The sequence below is a fragment of the Homo sapiens genome, chromosome 15, assembly GCF_000001405.40.
Source record: "Homo sapiens chromosome 15, GRCh38.p14 Primary Assembly".
Taxonomy (NCBI): domain Eukaryota; kingdom Metazoa; phylum Chordata; class Mammalia; order Primates; family Hominidae; genus Homo; species Homo sapiens.
Window position 1 is genome coordinate 34140349 of NC_000015.10, and position 17951 is coordinate 34158299.

Sequence of the window (17951 nt, forward strand, 5' to 3'; positions counted from 1 at the left end):
ACATTACACAGTATTTTAGATATCTTATTTTGAATCTATTATTTTAAATGTTAGATTAAAAGTCTACAGTATCACATATACCCATTGAGTAATCTTTCCATTTGAGGCGAAAGGTTTATGCTAAGCTATACATACCATCTTCCTGAATTTCTGAGATGGATACCTGACGGAAGGTGCAATCGACAGCTATAAAAACATTTTGTGTGTATGTAAAGTTAATGAACCTACAAAAGCATCAAACTCCTGTCCACGGCCTCTTTAGCACCATACTCCAACCAAGTTAACTGGTTCAAACTGCTACATAAGACAGTGATAACTACAGGAATAAGCACAAAGAAAGGTTATATTTTATCATGTTAAAAGTTTCACAGAGATAACAGGTTTACAATTCAAATTCCCATGTCCTGAAAACTGGCCTCTTAAATAACTCACCTCTCAAATCACAGACGTGCAATAATCTGAAATTATTATAATCTAAAGACTTAAGGAAATAACCAATTATTACAATTCATGTTCACTGTGAGGAATATCTAGCTATATAAAATATAGCTACACAAAACCAGAACTCAGTGAAACATAACTTTTAAGAGCAAGAAATCTGCTTGAGATTCGTATCAGTAGTCATTAAACGAATAAATGCTAAAGGTTTACATTCAAGTGCTTGAAGGACTACTGCAGAGAAATTCAATTACTAAAAACCTTTGCTCAGATGCCTGTCAGGCATATTAAGGATGGGATGATGTGTGAACCACCAGCAGTGGTATTAAACCCCAATCATTTTCAAGACAAGTAAGATTTAGAGCTGTTAAGACATTCCAGAATTTGGTTCACTGACACTAAAAGTGGTATTTTAAAAAAAGACCTCATACAGTCTGCTAGCATATCATACTAACCATTAGAGGAGGTAGTGACACAAAGTGTTGGAATTTAAAATACAAGATCAGCATTAACTGTAAACCATTCTAAATCACTGTATGTAACTCTTTAAAACATATGTAGTGAAAAAGAATTAGAATTCATATAAAATCAGAATTTAAAAAAGCAAAAAATAGAAATATTTAGTGAATTTACTCAAATGAAGGAAGTTTAAATGATACAGGAATGAAAAATATTAGAAATCTATGTACAATAAAAAGTAAATATAAATTAGCCAAGTCCATGGACATTTCCAGTTAAACATTCATACAAAAACATATTCACCTTTTTCCTTAGATAGGGATAACACATTCATACATGACATGATGATTCTGGCAAAAAATATCAGAGATACTAAAACTATTCTCAAGTTTTAAAAATGGTGCAGAGAGTGTTTCAAGAACACTCTACAAGAATGTAAACCCCTGATTTAATTCCATGATTTTATCATGCCAGAAGCATGGTTGGTTTTAGTTTTTTAAAACAGATATTGGTATCATAACACATTGGCTTATTAATAATTAAGGCATTTTACATACACAGTATCTCAGTGTGAACAAAAAATGTTTAATATTGATTTTTTTCATGTTTTAAACTTTCAGTCTTTTCAACATAAGAAAATAGCTGCACACATTTAAGTGTTTTTTTTTTTTAATAAAACACAATCTTAAAAAAGTTAATGATGATTGGTCTTGGTGGTTCCTAGTGGTAAGTCCTGTCTTATTTTTTCACATAGTATAAATTATATTTTTATGCAGGATTGCATTAAAATCCAGTAGTTCTTAATGTTACCAAATAACCATATAACTCCCAAATGCAGCAAAGGTGAACAATCTTCATAGTGCACTTTCACCTCAATGAAATTGAAGCTGCTCCTTTTGGATATTTTTCCACTTCAATGTGAAGCAGATTGCTGGGATTTCATTAGTGGTTTCATTACGTGGCTTTTTAAAAGAAAAAATAGTTTTGATTTCTTCCACAGTTCACAGTTCTCAGACGAGACTTTTTTTTTTTGTAAATTATACAGTTCAGGGATGTTTTGAAAAACCAAATGCTCTTTAGTAGATGAAATCTCTCAATGTAACTGTAATAAATAAGCATCTACATCCTTAGAAGATAAAACAAAAACATTTCATTAGACAGTACAGTAAATACAAACATAAACAATCCATTTTTTTTTGTTGTTGCTTAATTTGCCTTAGTTTCCTTTTGTGACCTTTTGAGGGTAAAAGACGTGCCTTGTTCAGTGCTTTTATCTGCATTTGTTCAGCACAGGGCCTGGCACATAGTATGTGCTCAATATATATTTGCTAAGTGCTAAATGAATGTGTTGGTTCCTATGCTCAAACAACTCTGCTTTCATAGCTAACATTCACAGAAATTCTATCAGTGCTGTTTACTATCAGTGCTATATTCACTTGAGCCCAGCTTGACAATAGCCTCTTTCAATTTCTTTCTCTTTTTTTTGAGACAGAGTCTTGCTCTGTCACCAGGCTGAAGTGCAGTGGCGTGATCTTGGCTCTCTGCAACCTCCACCTCCAGGGTTCAAGTGATTCTCCAGCCTCAGCCTCCCAAGTAGCTGGGACTACAGGTGTGCACCACCACGCCCGGCTAATTTTTTGTGTTTTAGTAGAGATGGGGTTTCACCATGTTGGCCGGGATGGTCTCGATCTCCTGAGCTCGTGATCTGCCCACCTTGGCCTCCCAAAGTACTGGGATTACAGGCATGAGCCACCTTGCCCGGCCCTCTTCTTTCAATTTCTATACTCAAAAAATTACAAATTAATTGATGGTTTAATTTTGTAAGAAAGTCTCATCATAAGGAACTTCGCATTGAACTTTTAATCACTCAATATTGTCCCCAATAATAAATGGTACCTTAAAGTCATATTCACAATAAAGCTTTTCCCTTTGTAAAAAACTGATTGTGGCCGGGTGTGGTGGCTCCCGCCTGTAATCCCATTACTTTGGGAGGGGGAGGTGGGTGGGTCACTTGAGGTCAGGAGTTCGAAACCAGCCTGGCCAACGTGGTGAAATCCCGTCTCCACTAAAAATACAAAAATTAGCCAGGCATGTGTGTAATCCCAGCTACTCGGGAGGCTGAGGCAGGAGAATCACTTGAACCCAGGAGGCAGAGGTTGCAGTGAGCTGAGCTTGTGCCACTGCACTCCAGCCTGGACGACAGAGCGAGATTCAGTCTCAAAACAAAAACAACAAAAAAAATTCTGATTGAAAGCAAATTTCAGTCATAAGGAACAATCATTTTTTAGTTCTTCTATACAGAATGCAACAACCCTTTAGAGCAAGGTAATACGTCATGTATGCTCTAAAAACCTAAAACAACAACAAAAACTTTCTAGGAGATTGATATGTTCATAAGATTTTCATCATTAAGAATTCTATAGGCCAGGCGCAGTGGCTCACGCCTGTAATCCCAGCACTTTGGGAGGCCAAGGCAGGTGGATCATGAGGTCAAGAGATCAAGACCATCCTGGCTAACATGGTGAAACCCTGTCTCTACTAAAAATACAAAAAAAAAAAAAAAAAAAAAAAAATTGCCAGGCATGGTGGTGGGCGCCTGTAGTCCCAGCTAATCGGGAGGCTGAGGCAGGAGAATGGCGTGAACCTGGGAGGTGGAGCTTGTAGTGAGCCGAGATTGCGCCACCACACTCCAGCCTGGGCGACAGAGCGAGATTCCATCTCAAAAAAAAAAAAAAAAAAAAAAGAATTCTATAGAGTAAAATCCCACACAGTGGTAACAAACTTGGTTGATATATCATTTTGCTTCTTTTTTTTGAAGGTATCTGAGAAATTTTTTTTTTTGGGAGAGGGGCCATGGTCTTCCATAGCAATGGCCAGAGCTCCTCTGTGGCTGTCACTTTGACAGGAGATAAGCTTCTGGTTGGTCACTGTTGGTATCACTCCCATTTGCTTTTCTTCCCTCAGCTACATTAATTCCCTGAAAGCTTCTGTCTCCTGTAAGAGCTGAACTTATCTTGGAGTAGAAGCCAGATTATCCCTCAAGGCTACCTAGGTTTGCCCAAGCCTCTGTTTCCCTTAGCATTGTATTTTTTTCCCCCTGAATTCTAAGAAGTTGTTTTGTCTCCGAGAAAAATGTTATAACTAAGTCCATGACATAAATCCTCTTATTTAGAAATATATATATATATATATTTTTAAAACCAAAGAATGCTTTTTATATTCCTGGCTAATGCCCATTTATGATAGCAGTATGCCCGGTAATAAAGTAAAAGTATTTCTTAATGACAATTTTTTCTTCAATTAATTTTTAACTACTAATGTTTTTTCTTTCTTTTTTTTTTTTGAGACGGAGTTTCACTCTGTTGCCCAAACTGGAGTGCAATGGCACGATCTCAGCTCACCACAACCTCCGCCTCCCAGGTTCAAGTGATTCTCCTGCCTCAGCCTCCCGAGTAGCTGGGATTACAGGCACGTGCCATCACACCCAGGTAATTTTTTGTATTTTTAGTAGAAACGGGGTTTCACCAACCAGGCTGGTCTCGAACTCCTGACCTCAGGTGATCTGCTTGCCTTGGCCTCCCTAAGTGCTAGGATTACAGGCGTAAGCCACTGTGCCCGGCCTAACTACCAATGTTTTCTGGAGTTTAAATATTAAAATTCAAACTAGCAATTTTTACTTTTTCCTTTACGAGACAAATCAATAAAGACCAAAGTCAAATTCACTGTGATTTAAATAGTTTACCTTCTCAAAAAGCATAACATTAGCAAAAGTAAAACTTAATCTCCAAAACCATTTAATTATGTTTCTTATCCCTTGTTTCCTGAGTTCCTCGTCTTGTTTTCTGATGCTGTCCTTATTGGATTCTCAAAATTTTTTCAAATACTTTTCTCTGATTAAAACCCTCTGTAAATATCCTCTAGCATAGCATTTCAGGGGCTGTACATGAAACATGTTCAATGGCCAATTCCTGTGCTTGCTGCCAAGGTCACAGTTACACGCAGAGGACCTGAAGCATTTGAAAATATGAAATTGACTTTAGACATTAGAACAGTACCATATTATTTTGCCTAGAGACTTGAAAATTAATTTATAAATGTAAAATATTATTTCTAATTTTTAATGTTTAATTTATAAGCTTAAATATAGATTACCTTAGCTATATTACCAGTATATCCTGGAACCAAAGTAAGATGGTTTTCCTGTTCCCATAATCCACTTAATTGTTGTTTTAAAATTTGAATATTTCTAAAAGAAAAAAAAGGAAGAAAAATGAGAAAGCAAATACATTAAGATACAAACTTTCATCATAAATATGCATAATAAAAACTGTTCTAAAATTTTTCAGGTATTTTTCAGGAGAAAATGATGCTATTTGAAATAAAACATTTGGGAACGTGGAGAGAAATTAAAAAAAAATCAAATAACTTTTAGAATAATACATGTCAGTCATGAAAATTAAAGGTTTATCCACATAATACCGCCAAATGCCTCCTATTTAATTAATTCTTGGAAACAACAAAGGATGTTTTTTCAATTCCAAAATTAATAAAATTTCTTACTTGATTTCAATTAAAAAAAAAAAGAAAATTAAAGGTTATTTAGTTGTCAAAGCAGGTAAGAAAATGACCAGGCGTTTGGAACATTTGGACATTCCTTGGTGTGAAGTAGAAAATTTTGAGAGCCTACAAAATAAATTGTGGCTTTTTTTTTTTTTTTTTTTGAGACAAGGGCTGGCTCTATTGCCCAGGCTGGAGTGCAGTGGTGCCATCTCGGCTTACTGCAACCTCCACCTCCTGGGCTCAAGCGATCCTCCTGCCTCAGCCTGAGTAGCTGGGACTACAGGCGCACACCACCATGCCTGGCTAATTTTTGTATTTTTTGTAGAGACGGGATGTCATCATGTTGCCCAGGCTGTCTCAAACTTGTGAGCTCAAGTGATTTGCCCTTCTTGGCCTCCCAAAGTGCTGGGATTACAGACAGGCATCAGCCACCGTGCCTGGCCCAAAATTATGGACTTTAAGGAAACTGTTGGGAGATATTTTTCTGTGGTTTCATGATAATCTGGCTATACTCTGGTAGAATACCCACGAATTTTCACATCAAGGCAGTAATAATACAGTTTTTAGAACTGTAAACATCAACACCGGACTCTCAGGTTAATGTCTAGGTAAAGGACCCCGCAGGGTGCCTCCATTCCTTATTACACTGTGGGCATCTCTTTTTCCTCCCTTACTCATAATGAATATGAGAATTAAACCACTATTGTGTTTTTCTTCTAAAATGAAGGGTAGGGTTGTGCCAGAAGAAGAGATACAGGAGGTTAGTAGGCTCTGGAATTCAATTTCCAGGTGTGGTTTTCACAAATGAACAGTCTCTTAAGTTAGTATCTCTCTGAATATAAAAAGAATAAATACCATACACTGATGATAATGGGATAAAATTATTACCTAGTTTAATCAAGCTGCTTTCCTGAAGAAAATTTCAGCATGAGTTTATCTTTAAAGGTATACTCACCCATCATTTATAATTTCTGTTTTGGATGATAGTTCTGACCACCACCTTTTAATGACTGCTTGAAGCCAGTTTAAACCAACTATAACATATCTGAAATGACATTTTGTTACAAAATTCAAGTGTTTTCATCTAAGAACCCTTCTTATAAAAGATGATACTTTCCCTCCCAAAAAACACACACACACATTGGTCCCTTCCCTTTTAAAAAATTGTTACCTTCATGATCTATTACACAAAAGTATATTTCATGTAATTTGTTTAGAGATGCTTTTATAATTGTCCTTTAGTCATTTCATATTCTTTTCCTAATTGTACTATTAGCTTCTTGAAAACAGAAACCTTGCATGTCTCATGGAGCCCAATCTACTATGTACTCACAAAGCACAAAATCAAGGATGCTGAAAAAGAAAAATGAATCAAGATTCAGATTAGCACTTACTCTTCAAATTTGCTTTTAAGTAGTGACTTTACTAGAGGCAACAAGTCAACACAGCAGCCAAGTGAGATATATTGTTTTTCTTCCTGTAAACTAAAATAAATACCAAGTTATAAAAATATGGATGGGCCATAATTTGACCTCCTTTAATCTTATTTTTTTTCTGAAAAATATTGTTTTTACCAATTGGTGAGCACAGGAAGGCAATCTACCACAACGCCAAGATCTTCTATCCTGAGAGTATAAAAAGAATAGCATTGCCTTAGAGAGCTGATTTCCTTATTTACTTTCATATTATGATTATTCACACCGCTTTTGAGAAATTCATTCATTTAACAATGTCAGTATCTACAATGAGTCATGTCTGTGGATACAGCAATGAACAAAGACACAGGGCTTGTATTCCAGTGTGTGAGCAACTGTGGGGGTTGGGGGGTGGGACAGAGACAGGCAATAAACAAATAACAAGACATAAGACATATAGAGCAGGTTGATATAAGTGCTATGGAGAAAAATAAAACAGGAAAGCGAGATAGGGAGTGGAGAAATAGGTATTTTAAAATAAGTTGGTCAAAGAAGGCTTCCCTAAGGTAACATCTGAGAGACTTGAATACAATGAGGAAAGTAATGCTTCAAATTCCCACTCAAAAGGGATGTTTACTTTTTATTTTTAGTAATTTTTTTTTTAAGAAACGGGTCTCATTCGGTTGCCCAGGCTGGAATGTAGTTGCATAATCACAGCTTACTGCAACCTCCAACTCCTGGGTTCAAAGTGATCTTCCCAAGTATCTGGGACCACAAGCACGTACCACTGTGCCTGGCTTATTATTTTTATTTTTTGTAGAGATGGAGTCTTGCTATGTTGCTCAGTCTCTCACTCCTGGGCTCAAGGGACTCTCTCACCTCAACCTTCCCAAATGCTGGGATTATAGGCAAGAACTGCCACACCTGGCCTCAAAAGGGATTTTTAGAAGGTTAGTTTTCCCATATCGTTATCTCTTAGTTTTATAGGTAAGAATGACAGTCAGGAAAGGTAACAGCTTTGTTCAATCTGATAAAACATTGTTTTCTGTATTTTGGTTACTCTTAGATGGGTGAGGAATGTAATTTAAGCCATACTGTCTCTACTGAAGCTACATATAGGCAGTTTAGAATAATGAAGAAGGTTCACCTGAGCTCAGGAGTTCGAGACCAGCCCGGGAAACATAAGACCTCATGTCTTCCAAAAAATTTTTTTAAAAAATAGCCAGGTGTGGTGATGTGCACCTGTACTCTCAGCTACTCAGGAGGCTGAGGTGGGAGGGCTGCTTGAACTCAGCAGGTTGAGGCTGCAGTGAGCCATGATTGTGCCACTGTACTCCAACTTGGATGACAAAGCAAGAACTTGTCTCAGAAAAAAAGTGATTGAACAAAGAGGATAAAAGGTCACACTTACCTCAACAAATAAGCTACAAGTTCACTTATACTTCTCTTTCTCCAGAAAGTTAAAGCTACATTCAATCTCATATTCCTGCTGAACAAAACTTGGGCCATTGTTTCATGGTCCTGAGAAACCTGAAAGGCAATAATCTGATTTGTTAAAAAGCACACTGAAACAGGGTATGAAACTATTTTTTTATTAAATCGTTCTGGTAGACATAGTTAAAAATCATGCAAAAGTAACTCCTTTTACTAGCCCACAAAAAGGAATACTGCAGTTGACCACAGTAAACAAATGATCTGAACAAATTTAAGACCCATTTATACTTTTCACTAGCTACCATTTTTCTTTTAAAACCCAATAATTTATAAAATTATTTTTAGCTGACCTATAAACTAGGACTTAATTTATAACATGGATAAAAGAAAAATGTAAACATGTAGGCTAGTCATTACCAACTGAATGGCAGGAGAATCACAAAAACTCAGTTTTTGACAAGTGTTGTAGTATCATTTAAATTTATCTATTTATTGTTAAGTAATGAAGTGTCATTTTCCTGTTCTAATGTGTTTAACACAGAACTATGTAAGATAAAAAGTAAAAACTCTCTGCCTGCCCACAAAAACATCCAATATCACTCCGCAGAAATAATCACAGTTAACAGACTGATATGTATCTTTCCAGACCATTTTCTAGACAAAGACAAATTAAGTACACATATAAACACTCTGAAAAATTAATTACCTATATTGTTCAAAACCTTGCTTTTTTACCTATATGAACATTTTTCAATGTCAAAACACAGATCAAGCTTTTTTTTTTTTGGAGACAGGGTCTTGCTCTGTTGCCTAGGCTGGAGTGCAGTGGTGCAATCTCAGCTCACTGCAACCTCCGCCTCCCAAGCTCAAGTAATTCTCCTGCCTCACCCTCCCCGAGTAGCTGGGATTACAGGCACCCAACACAACACCCAACTAATTTTCCTATTTTTAGTAGAGATGGGGTTTTGCCATGTTGGCCAAGCTGGTCTCCAACTCCTGACCTCACATGATCCGCCTGCCTTGGCCTCCCAAGTGCTGGGATTACAGGCATGAGCCGCCACACCAAGCCCAACTTTACTTTTAAAGAACAACAGCATAGCCTGGCATAGTGCTGTGTGCCTACAGTCCCAGCTACTTGGGAACCTGAGGTGGGAGAACCACTTGAGCTCAGGAGTTTGAGTCCAGCCTGGGAAAGACAGTGAGACAGTGAGACCTCATCTCTTAAAAACAACAACAAAAAACAATAGCATATTCTCTAGTCTTTACATACCATAATTTATTTAGATTCTGGTTTTTACCTATCAAAACTGATGAGTGGACATCCTGATATATGTAAATATGTGCACTTGTACAGACACTTTTGTTAAAATTAATTTTACAATTGGAACAGCTAGGTCAATGGTTATATGTATTTTAACTTGGCTAAGATGTTATGGTATCACTTTCAGATTTAGGTTTTTAGAGCAGGTACTGGTCAATCAAGAAAACAGGTATGAAACAAGAATAATCATTAAACCTATTAGTTAAATGTAAGGTTTAGTGAAAAGTAGTGAAAATGAGAATGTAAAGTAAAAAGAGGTTCTTGAGAAAGATGTCTCACTGGGGTAGTTTTTAAAATGCACAACTGAAACTTTTTAAAAAGAACTTTTATTCTGGCCAGGCACAGTGGCTCACACCTGTAATCCCAGCACTTTGGGCTGGGGCTGAGGCAGGTTGATCGCTTCAGCTCAGTAGTTCGAGACCAACCTGGGGAGCATGGCAAAACCCTGTCGCTATAGGAAATACAAAAATCAGCTGGGTGTGGTGGCACATGCCTGTAGTCCCAGTTACTCTGGAGACTGAGGTGGGAGGATTGCTTGAACCTGGGAGGTGAAGGTTGCAGTGAGCCAAGATTGCACCACTGCACCCCAGCCTGGGTGATAGAGCGAGAGACCCTGTTTCAAAACACAAAACAAAACAAACTTATTTTATGTTCAGGGGCACATGTGCAGGTTTGTTATATAGGTAGTTTGCATGTTGTGGGGGTTTGGTGTACAGATTATTTCATCACACAGGTAATAAGCATAGTAACTGATAAGTAGTTTTTTGATCCTAACTCTCTTCTCACCCTCTACCCTAAGGTAGGCCTCATGTCTGTTGTTCCCATCTTTGTGTCCATATGCACTAGCACAGTGTTTAGCTCCCACTCCAACTGAGAACATGAAGCATTTGGTTTTCTGTTCCTGTATTAGTTCGCTTAGGATAATGGCCTCCAGGTTCACTCGTGATTGCAAATGACATGATCTTGTTCTTTTTATGGCTGCATATAGTATTCCATGGTGTATATGCACCATATTTTCTTTATCCAGTTTACCATTGATGGGCATTTCGATTGATTCCTTGTCTTTGCTATTGTGAACAGTGCTGTGATGAACATACGCATACATGTGTCTTTATGGTAGCATGTTTTATATTCCTTTGGGTATATATCCAATAATAAGATTGTTTTAAGTTCTTTGAAAAATTGTCGCACTGCTTTCACAATGGCTGAAACTAAATTACATTGTCACCAGCATTGTATAAGTGTTCTTTTTCCACAACCTTGCCAGAATCTATTATTTTTTGACTTTTTAATAATAGCCATTCTAACTGGTATGAGATGATATCCTGTTGTGGTTTTGATTTGCATTTCTCTAATGATGAGTGATTTTAGGTTTAGCATTTAGGCTGAGCATTTTTTCATATGCTTGTCACCTACATGTATGTCTTCTTTTGAAAAGTGTCTATTGTGTCCTTTGCCTACTTTTTTTTTTTTTTTTTTTTTTTTTTTTTTTTTGAGACAGAATCTCACTCTGTAACCCAGGCTGGAGTGCAGTGACAAGATCTTGGCTCACTGCAACCTTTGCCTCCCGGGTTCAAGCAATTCTTGAGCGTCAGCCTCCCAAGTAGCTGGCATTACAGGCGTGCACCACCACGCCTGGGTAATTTTTGTATTTTTGGTAAAGATGGGGTTTTGCCATGTTGGCCAGGCGAGTCTTGAACTCCTGACCACCTGCCTTGGCCTCCCAAAGTGTGCCACCATGCCTAGCTAATTTTTGTATTTCTAGTAGAGATGAGGTTTCGCCATGTTGGCCAGGCCCAGTTTTAGAATATTTCTATCACTCTCAAAAACGCTTTTGAGTCTGTTAACCAGTTTTGCTTGAGCCAGAAGAGCAGCAAACCACAGCAGGTTTGCCTGAACTATGCTTTAACCAGGCAATATTGAGAGCCCGGCAAAATGTGTCTGGATAACTGGCTTCGGTGGTCCACTTTTTTTTTTTTTTTTGAGATGGAGTCTTGCTCTCTTGCCCAGGCTGGAGTGCAATGGAATGATCGCGGCTCACTGCAACCTCTGCCTCCCAGGTTCAAGTGATTCTTCTGCCTCAGCCTCCCAAGCAGCTGGGATTACAGGCACCCACCATCATGCCCGGCTCATTTTTGTACTTTTGTAGAGACAGGGTGTTTCACCATGTTGCCCAGGCTGGCCTCGAACTCCCGACCTCAGGTGATCTGCCTGCAGATGTTGTCCTTTTTATTTTTATTTTTTTGAGACGGAGTCGCTCTGTTGCCCAGGCTGGAGTGCAATGGTGTGATCTCAACTCACTGCAACTTCTGCCTCCCGGGTTCAAGCGATTCTCCTGTCTCAGCCTCCTTCTGAGTAGCTGGGATTACAGGCGCCCCCCACCATGCCCGGCTAATTTTTGTATTTTTAGTAGAGGCAGGGTTTCACCATGTTGGCCAGGCTGGTCTCAAACGCCTAACCTCGTGATCCACCCACCTCGGGCTCCAGGCGTGAGCCACTGTGTCCGGCCTAGTGCTCCACTTTTTTAGGCAAGATTTCTCCTTTTCCCTTCCTTTAAATCTCTACTGGCTAACTTGTCATTCTGGATAGTTTTAGCAGCCTGCTAAGCATTTCATCCCATCTTAGAGAAATGGAATAAATTATTAATTCAAATTTGGTTAATCTAGAAAATTGTCTCAGGGAGTTACTATGACTCAAATAAGTCTACATTCAATAGGTGACAAATTATTCTGCTAGTGGAATATGGCAAAGAAAAAAATCAAGATTATAACAGGAACAAAGTTAAACTAGATATGAGTTAGAGAAAAGACTTACCTCAGAAAAAAACCCACTATATTTTGATGATGGGCTTTCTGTCTGTGAAGAACCAGAATCACTGGAGTTAACCAAATATGTTCGACTATCATGGTGTAATTTTTCAGGCAGGTGGCCTGCACAAGCCAGTTCATTTTCTTTATTTGCCATGTCACAGCCCCCACTTCCAGGGGACTGTTTTTTTCTGTAACAAGGATTTGGAAAGGGATGATGAACTTTCTTTCTGCGATAGATCACTTTACGAAGTTTATCTGGGCTTTTCACAGTTTGTCCAACTGTTCTGTAAAAAGAATTTATTTTCTTAAATGAAAAAGAACCATATGAAATCCTTTAAAAGTTTTTAAACAGAGAATTAATAGGCTATATTTGGTGATTGTAATCCACTAAAATTAGAAATAAATAGAATTTTAAAAATCTTAATTCTGAGTTGAAGAGAAAAGTAAAAGGGAAATTACAAATTATCTGGAAGACAATGTAAAGGATGACATTTTATGCCAAATAAAAATGAAGACAGACATAATAACCAGAATGCTTTTAAAAATGAAATATTAAAGGCCATTCTGGGAGTAAGAAGACCACAACATTTTCTAGAAACCTGATCTTTTTCTAACAAAGTGGCAAATAAGACTGCAAGTGTGAATATTTTAAAATTTAATTAAGCTGAAGTATATTGATTTATTTGAGTAAGAACACGATAGAGCAAGCCTCATCGTTTAATACAGTGGTTCTCAAACGTTTTAGTGTCACGATGCTTTGCTCTCTTAAAAATAATTAATGACTCAAAAATTTTTTTTTTTTTTGAGATGCAGTCTCTCTCTGTTGCCAGGCTAGTGTGCAGTGGCACAATCTCAGCTCACTGCAACCTCCACCTCCCAGGTTCAAGTGATTCTCTTGCCTCAGCCTCCTGAGTAGCTGGGACTACAGTCGCGCGCCACCATGCTGAACTAACTTTTGTATTTTTAGTAGAGACAGGGTTTCACCCTGTTGGCAAGGATGATCTTGATCTCTTGACCTCATGATCCACCCACCTTGGCCTCCTAAAGTGCTGGGAATACAGGTGTGAGCCATGGCCAAAATAATTTTTATGTGAATAGTATCTATTGATATTTACTGTGTAAAAACTAAAACAAAATTTAAATCATTTGTTAATTCATTCAAAAAAAGACTAATTACATATTAACATGGAATATCTTACCCAAAACCCATATTTTCTAAAATAATTTTTTAAAAAGTGAGAAGAATGGTACTGTTTTACATTTTTATATATCTCTAATATCTGGTTTAACAAAAGACAGCTGGGTTCTCATTTCTGCTTCTCCATTCAATCTACTGTGATATCAAATGGCATATAGCTTCTTGAAAAATTATATTGTACCCTCAAACAAGAGAATGAAAATGAAGACAGTCAATGTCTTAGTATTGCTATGGAAGTAATTCTGACTTCACAAATTCCATGAATGGTCTTTAGGGACCCGCAGGTCCTCAAATCACACTTTGAAAACCAGTCGTTTTGTAGAAAGTGCCTTTAGAAGTTAGGCAGATCTGAGAATGAATGTCATTCTTACCACTTTTCTAGCTATATGATTCTGAACAAATCATTTAACTTATCTGATCTTAAGTTTTCTCATCAACTGTTAGGGTTAATGTTATCTATAGAGTAGGCTATAGAGTAGGACTGTTGTAAGGAGCAGAGACAATATTGATGTGTTTATTAGTGCAGATACTGGCATAAAGAAGCTGTTTGACAATAAGTTAATTATTATTATGATAAAAGAATGCTTATTTTTCCCTTATTGTCATCCTTACCCAGCTTTCATATTTGTTGTTCCCCACAAACTTTAAAGAAACTCTTACCTATTTATGTAAGCAGCCAACTGTTTTGGAGATTTCTTAACCTGAAAAATGAAAGTAGATAGTTGATGTTAGAAACAAATGCTTGGTGCCGCAAAGAAGAATCAGCACTCCGGCAAAAAGCTTTCTCAGCAAGGCAATTTACTTCTGCAGAAGGGTGCCAATCGTGCCTGGAGTGGTCGCAAGAGCATACCGGGCATGGGAGGAGAAGGGGTTCTTATCCCTAATGCAGCTAGTCCCTACTACTGTGTCATTCCCCTATTGGCTAGGGTTGGACCGCACAGTCTAAACTAATTCTGATAGGCTATCTGGGTATGAGGCAGAGTGGCGGGGTGAGCAGTTTAGGCAGGAAGGATGGTTACAGTGCAGGTGACTAAGGATGACTAAGGACAGAGCAGGTGACTAAGGATGACTAAGGACTCTAAATATGTGAGTATAAAGGCTAGAAGGGGGTTGTTTACTGAAACTAGGGCAAGGAGGTGTAAAGAATGAGGAAGTTAAACTTTAAAATGGAGAACAAAGTATAAGAAAGCTGAACATACTGACATACTGGTTCCCAGAGGAACTCAGAACTCACTGTACTTAACAATATCCCCCTTTTGAATTTTACAGGTCTTCCTCTTCAAATTTCTTTAACATGTCTTGGCATAGCTGTTCTGCTTGGTTTTCTAAAAGAAAGAGCTTGTCAGAATATGGTGGAGGGGAACTGAGAGAAGTTTTAGTAAGGGCTGTTTCTGTATGTCTTTGGACTAGCCCACGGATGCGAGGTATGATGCAGCATCCAACAAGGATAAGCACTACTGCTACAATTGCAAGAGAAGTAAGGATGGTGGCTGTGATCCCTTTCCATTTACCAAACCATTTTTCTAGCCACCCTGTGAAGGGGTCATTTACTCCTGAGTTTTTTGCTAACTCATTGGACAGAGCAGTTAGACCTTGCAATGCCTTTGTTATACTTTCATCAGGGGCGGTATTGTTTGGGATGAAGGTACAACACTGAGTTTTAATCATGATGCAAACTTCCCCTTTTTCTGCTAAAATCATGTCTAAGGCCATTCTATTTTCCCAAGCCATCTGGCTAGTAAGCCCTAATTGCTCAGCTATTCCTTTAACAGCATCTCTAGTATAGTTAATAAACCGCTGTTGGTTGTAATAGGTGGAATTTATCTAATCTACGTTTTTATTAATTGTCACCCACCAAAATATTGACTCAAATCCAGCAGCTATTTGATCTCAGGTCTTAAATTTATTTGGTACTCCTCGTGGGACTCTAATTGCATCTAAATAAATGTGGGAGTCGAAAGACCCATAAGGGGCTTCCCTTGCTTTATGACATTGTGTTTTTTTCTTTCTCTGGTTGATGAAATGCCAGGGTGAAAGGGATAGCCAACTGCACTAGGGCGCAAGTGACACTCCAGTTACTAGGCAGAGTGTCCAGCAAAGGTCTACCACAATATCACCATACATCTGCTCGGGGGTGTATAAGGGCTGACTGGTTGGTGAGCTCTTGGAAAGTCTTAAGCTCACCGCATCCTTTTAGGTCTCTAAGGGATGCTAAGTTTCCTCTTTGTCGTGAGAGACACAAAATGAACTCAGTGTCGGGAGACAGAAGCTGGATGGCCCTCGGGGGCTAACCTGTGGGGTCTTGAACTTCGGGATATAGCAGAGAAAGAGCTTGGCACGACTTGTTACCCCAGGCTGTGGAATCCTGGAAAAAGAGCTACCATACAGCCCATGCCTGGTTGACTGGAGGACCATCATAGTGGAAAGGGGACAATCTGGCCCTCTGGCCTGCCATGCGCACGAGCATAACAATTGCTTTTGTTTAAAGTGCGGATGAAATATTTTATCTATTCTAACCAGGCATTGGCATTTTGATATCCCGTCTCAATTGCTAAAGTTTCTTTTAGGACTTTGACTTCTACAATAGCTACCTTCGTCTTGTCATTAGATGGAGGAAGAACAACAGTTTTGTTGTGGGAGGTTCTGGAAGAAGGCTTAGGGGAAGGTGTAGGCGGTGGGGGAGCAATGAAGAATATTTCAAAGGATCTGATAGGGTCTGCTCCTGAAACCTCAGCCCCCATATTATAAAACTGGCTTAAAGAAGGAAATTGGCTTAGAGAAGGGGAAGAACTTAGAGGGTTTGAGATAATAGCCTGTACTGGATTGTACTGATTTAGCTGACAGTTAGGGGAAGCTGTTCCTTTAGTAAAATGAATGTATAGCTTTAGGAAATTACAACTACTGCTTGGGGCAATCTATTCTTGCTCTTTAGTGGTCCACAGAATGTTGGACCAACTACAGCATAAAAGCTTTGTATTGGGAAGGCAAGACTCTCAGTTTATACTGGAATCTCCGTCAAACTCTTCCCAAGCTAACTTATCCCAGTTAACAGAATTCCAGTCTGAGAAGAGCTAGGAAGGACAAAGATACTTTTCTGAAGTGGAGAGTTGCCTCTGGCTTGGCACATCTCCACAGGGCATCACAAGGCAAGCATCAAAGGTAATAGTTTGGGGTGAACTCGACCTAGTTACATTAATAACAAGAGGACTAGCAATAGATGGGGAAAAGAAGAGATGCAACATAAGAGGATCAAACCCGTTTTAGCTTTAGCTTGGTTAGAGTAAGCCCTAGAATAGCTGCCCATGATTCTGGAGGAGGTGGTGCTCTTTTGACCTGGGTGTGATGAGTCCATCCCATTTCTGCTGTTTGAACTGTGGTCTCAATGGTTAGAAGCACTAGGCAGGGTCCTTCCTAAGCTGGTTCAAGTTTTCCTTCCCTCCAACTTTTGACAAGGATGTGGTCCCTAGGCTGATGTTGGTGTACTGGAAACTCTAGGGGTGGTGCCTGTGCTAAAAGACCTTTAGTTCTGAGGCAAGAGAAAGTGGAAGATAAACTTAAGTATATAATTTCTGAGAAACTGATCTTTTGTTTCGAACATGGGAATGTCAGCAGCGGAGTGCAAATAGAGCAACTTACACAACATTTCATAAGGGGATAAGCCAACATCTCTCTGAGGAGCAGTTCGGATTCTCAACAGGGCAATGGGAAGGCATCTAGTCCATGGCAACCGAGTCTCTAAGACTAATTTGCTTAAGTGGCTTTTTAGAGTTTGGTTCATTTTTTTCCCCACTCTTCCTGATGAAGGTGGGTGCCAGGGAGTATGATTTCCCATGTTATATCCAGTACCTGGGCTAATTTCTTAATGACATGTGCAATGAAATGAGTTCCATTATCTGAATCAATGTTTCCTATTAATCCAAACCTGGGTATAATATTTTCAACTAATGTTTTGACTACATTATTAGCAGTTGCACTTGAAAGGAAATAGCTTCTACCCAATGAGTAAGGTGATCTACTATTACTAATAAATATTTTAGACAACCAATTTGGGGCATCTTGGCGTAATCAACTTGGATACTTTGGAACAGTCTTAATTCCAGATACCTTCCCCTAAGAGGTGGTTTTCTGAGGGTCTGCTTATTAGTCATCCTAAATACTAGGCAACTATCTGTAACCTGTCATGTCAAAGTGTAAATTGCTACACATCCATAAACCCAAAGGACTGCATCACACATAGCTTGAGGTCCCCAATGAGTCTCTTGATGCAGATGAGAGAGGTCTCTCATAAGGGAATTGGATAACATTTTTCTTTGGTC

General features: G+C 38.6%; 1 protein-coding gene across 11 annotated transcripts in view, besides 2 other annotated features; it reads right to left on the reverse strand.

Moving 5' to 3' along the window:
* Positions 1-325: 325 nt before the first annotated feature.
* Positions 326-17951, reverse strand: part of KATNBL1 (katanin regulatory subunit B1 like 1) — a 69423-nt gene continuing 51797 nt past the window's right edge. For 7 of the 11 annotated variants that reach the window (NM_024713.3, XM_017022571.3, XM_047433037.1 and 4 more), the window contains 8 exons: positions 14296-14336; positions 12442-12721; positions 8284-8402; positions 7032-7082; positions 6852-6941; positions 6413-6502; positions 5050-5143; positions 326-2023 (listed from right to left, as the gene is read on the reverse strand). In NM_024713.3, coding sequence (NP_078989.1) covers positions 1991-2023; positions 5050-5143; positions 6413-6502; positions 6852-6941; positions 7032-7082; positions 8284-8402; positions 12442-12721; positions 14296-14336 — 798 coding nt within the window. In that variant the 3' untranslated portion in view covers positions 326-1990. Of the gene's footprint in view, positions 2024-4620; positions 4905-5049; positions 5144-6412; positions 6503-6851; positions 6942-7031; positions 7083-8283; positions 8403-12441; positions 12722-14295; positions 14337-17951 lie in introns of those variants that run through there. The other 4 variants (XM_005254668.5, XM_047433040.1, XM_017022575.3 and 1 more) reach the window with 2 other exon arrangements.
* Positions 14021-15220: an enhancer, noted in NCBI's record as "P300/CBP strongly-dependent group 1 enhancer chr15:34446570-34447769 (GRCh37/hg19 assembly coordinates)". NCBI's record gives its function as "activates an origin of replication core promoter dependent on BRD2, BRD4, P300/CBP, MED14 and CDK7 cofactors, with strong dependence on P300/CBP, by STARR-seq in HCT116 cells {active_cell/tissue: HCT116}" and the evidence as "EXISTENCE:reporter gene assay evidence [ECO:0000049][PMID:35650434]".
* Positions 14346-14546: a silencer, noted in NCBI's record as "peak2291 fragment used in MPRA reporter construct". NCBI's record gives its function as "represses an SCP1 promoter by STARR-seq MPRAs in K562 erythroleukemia cells {active_cell/tissue: K562}" and the evidence as "EXISTENCE:reporter gene assay evidence [ECO:0000049][PMID:32103011]".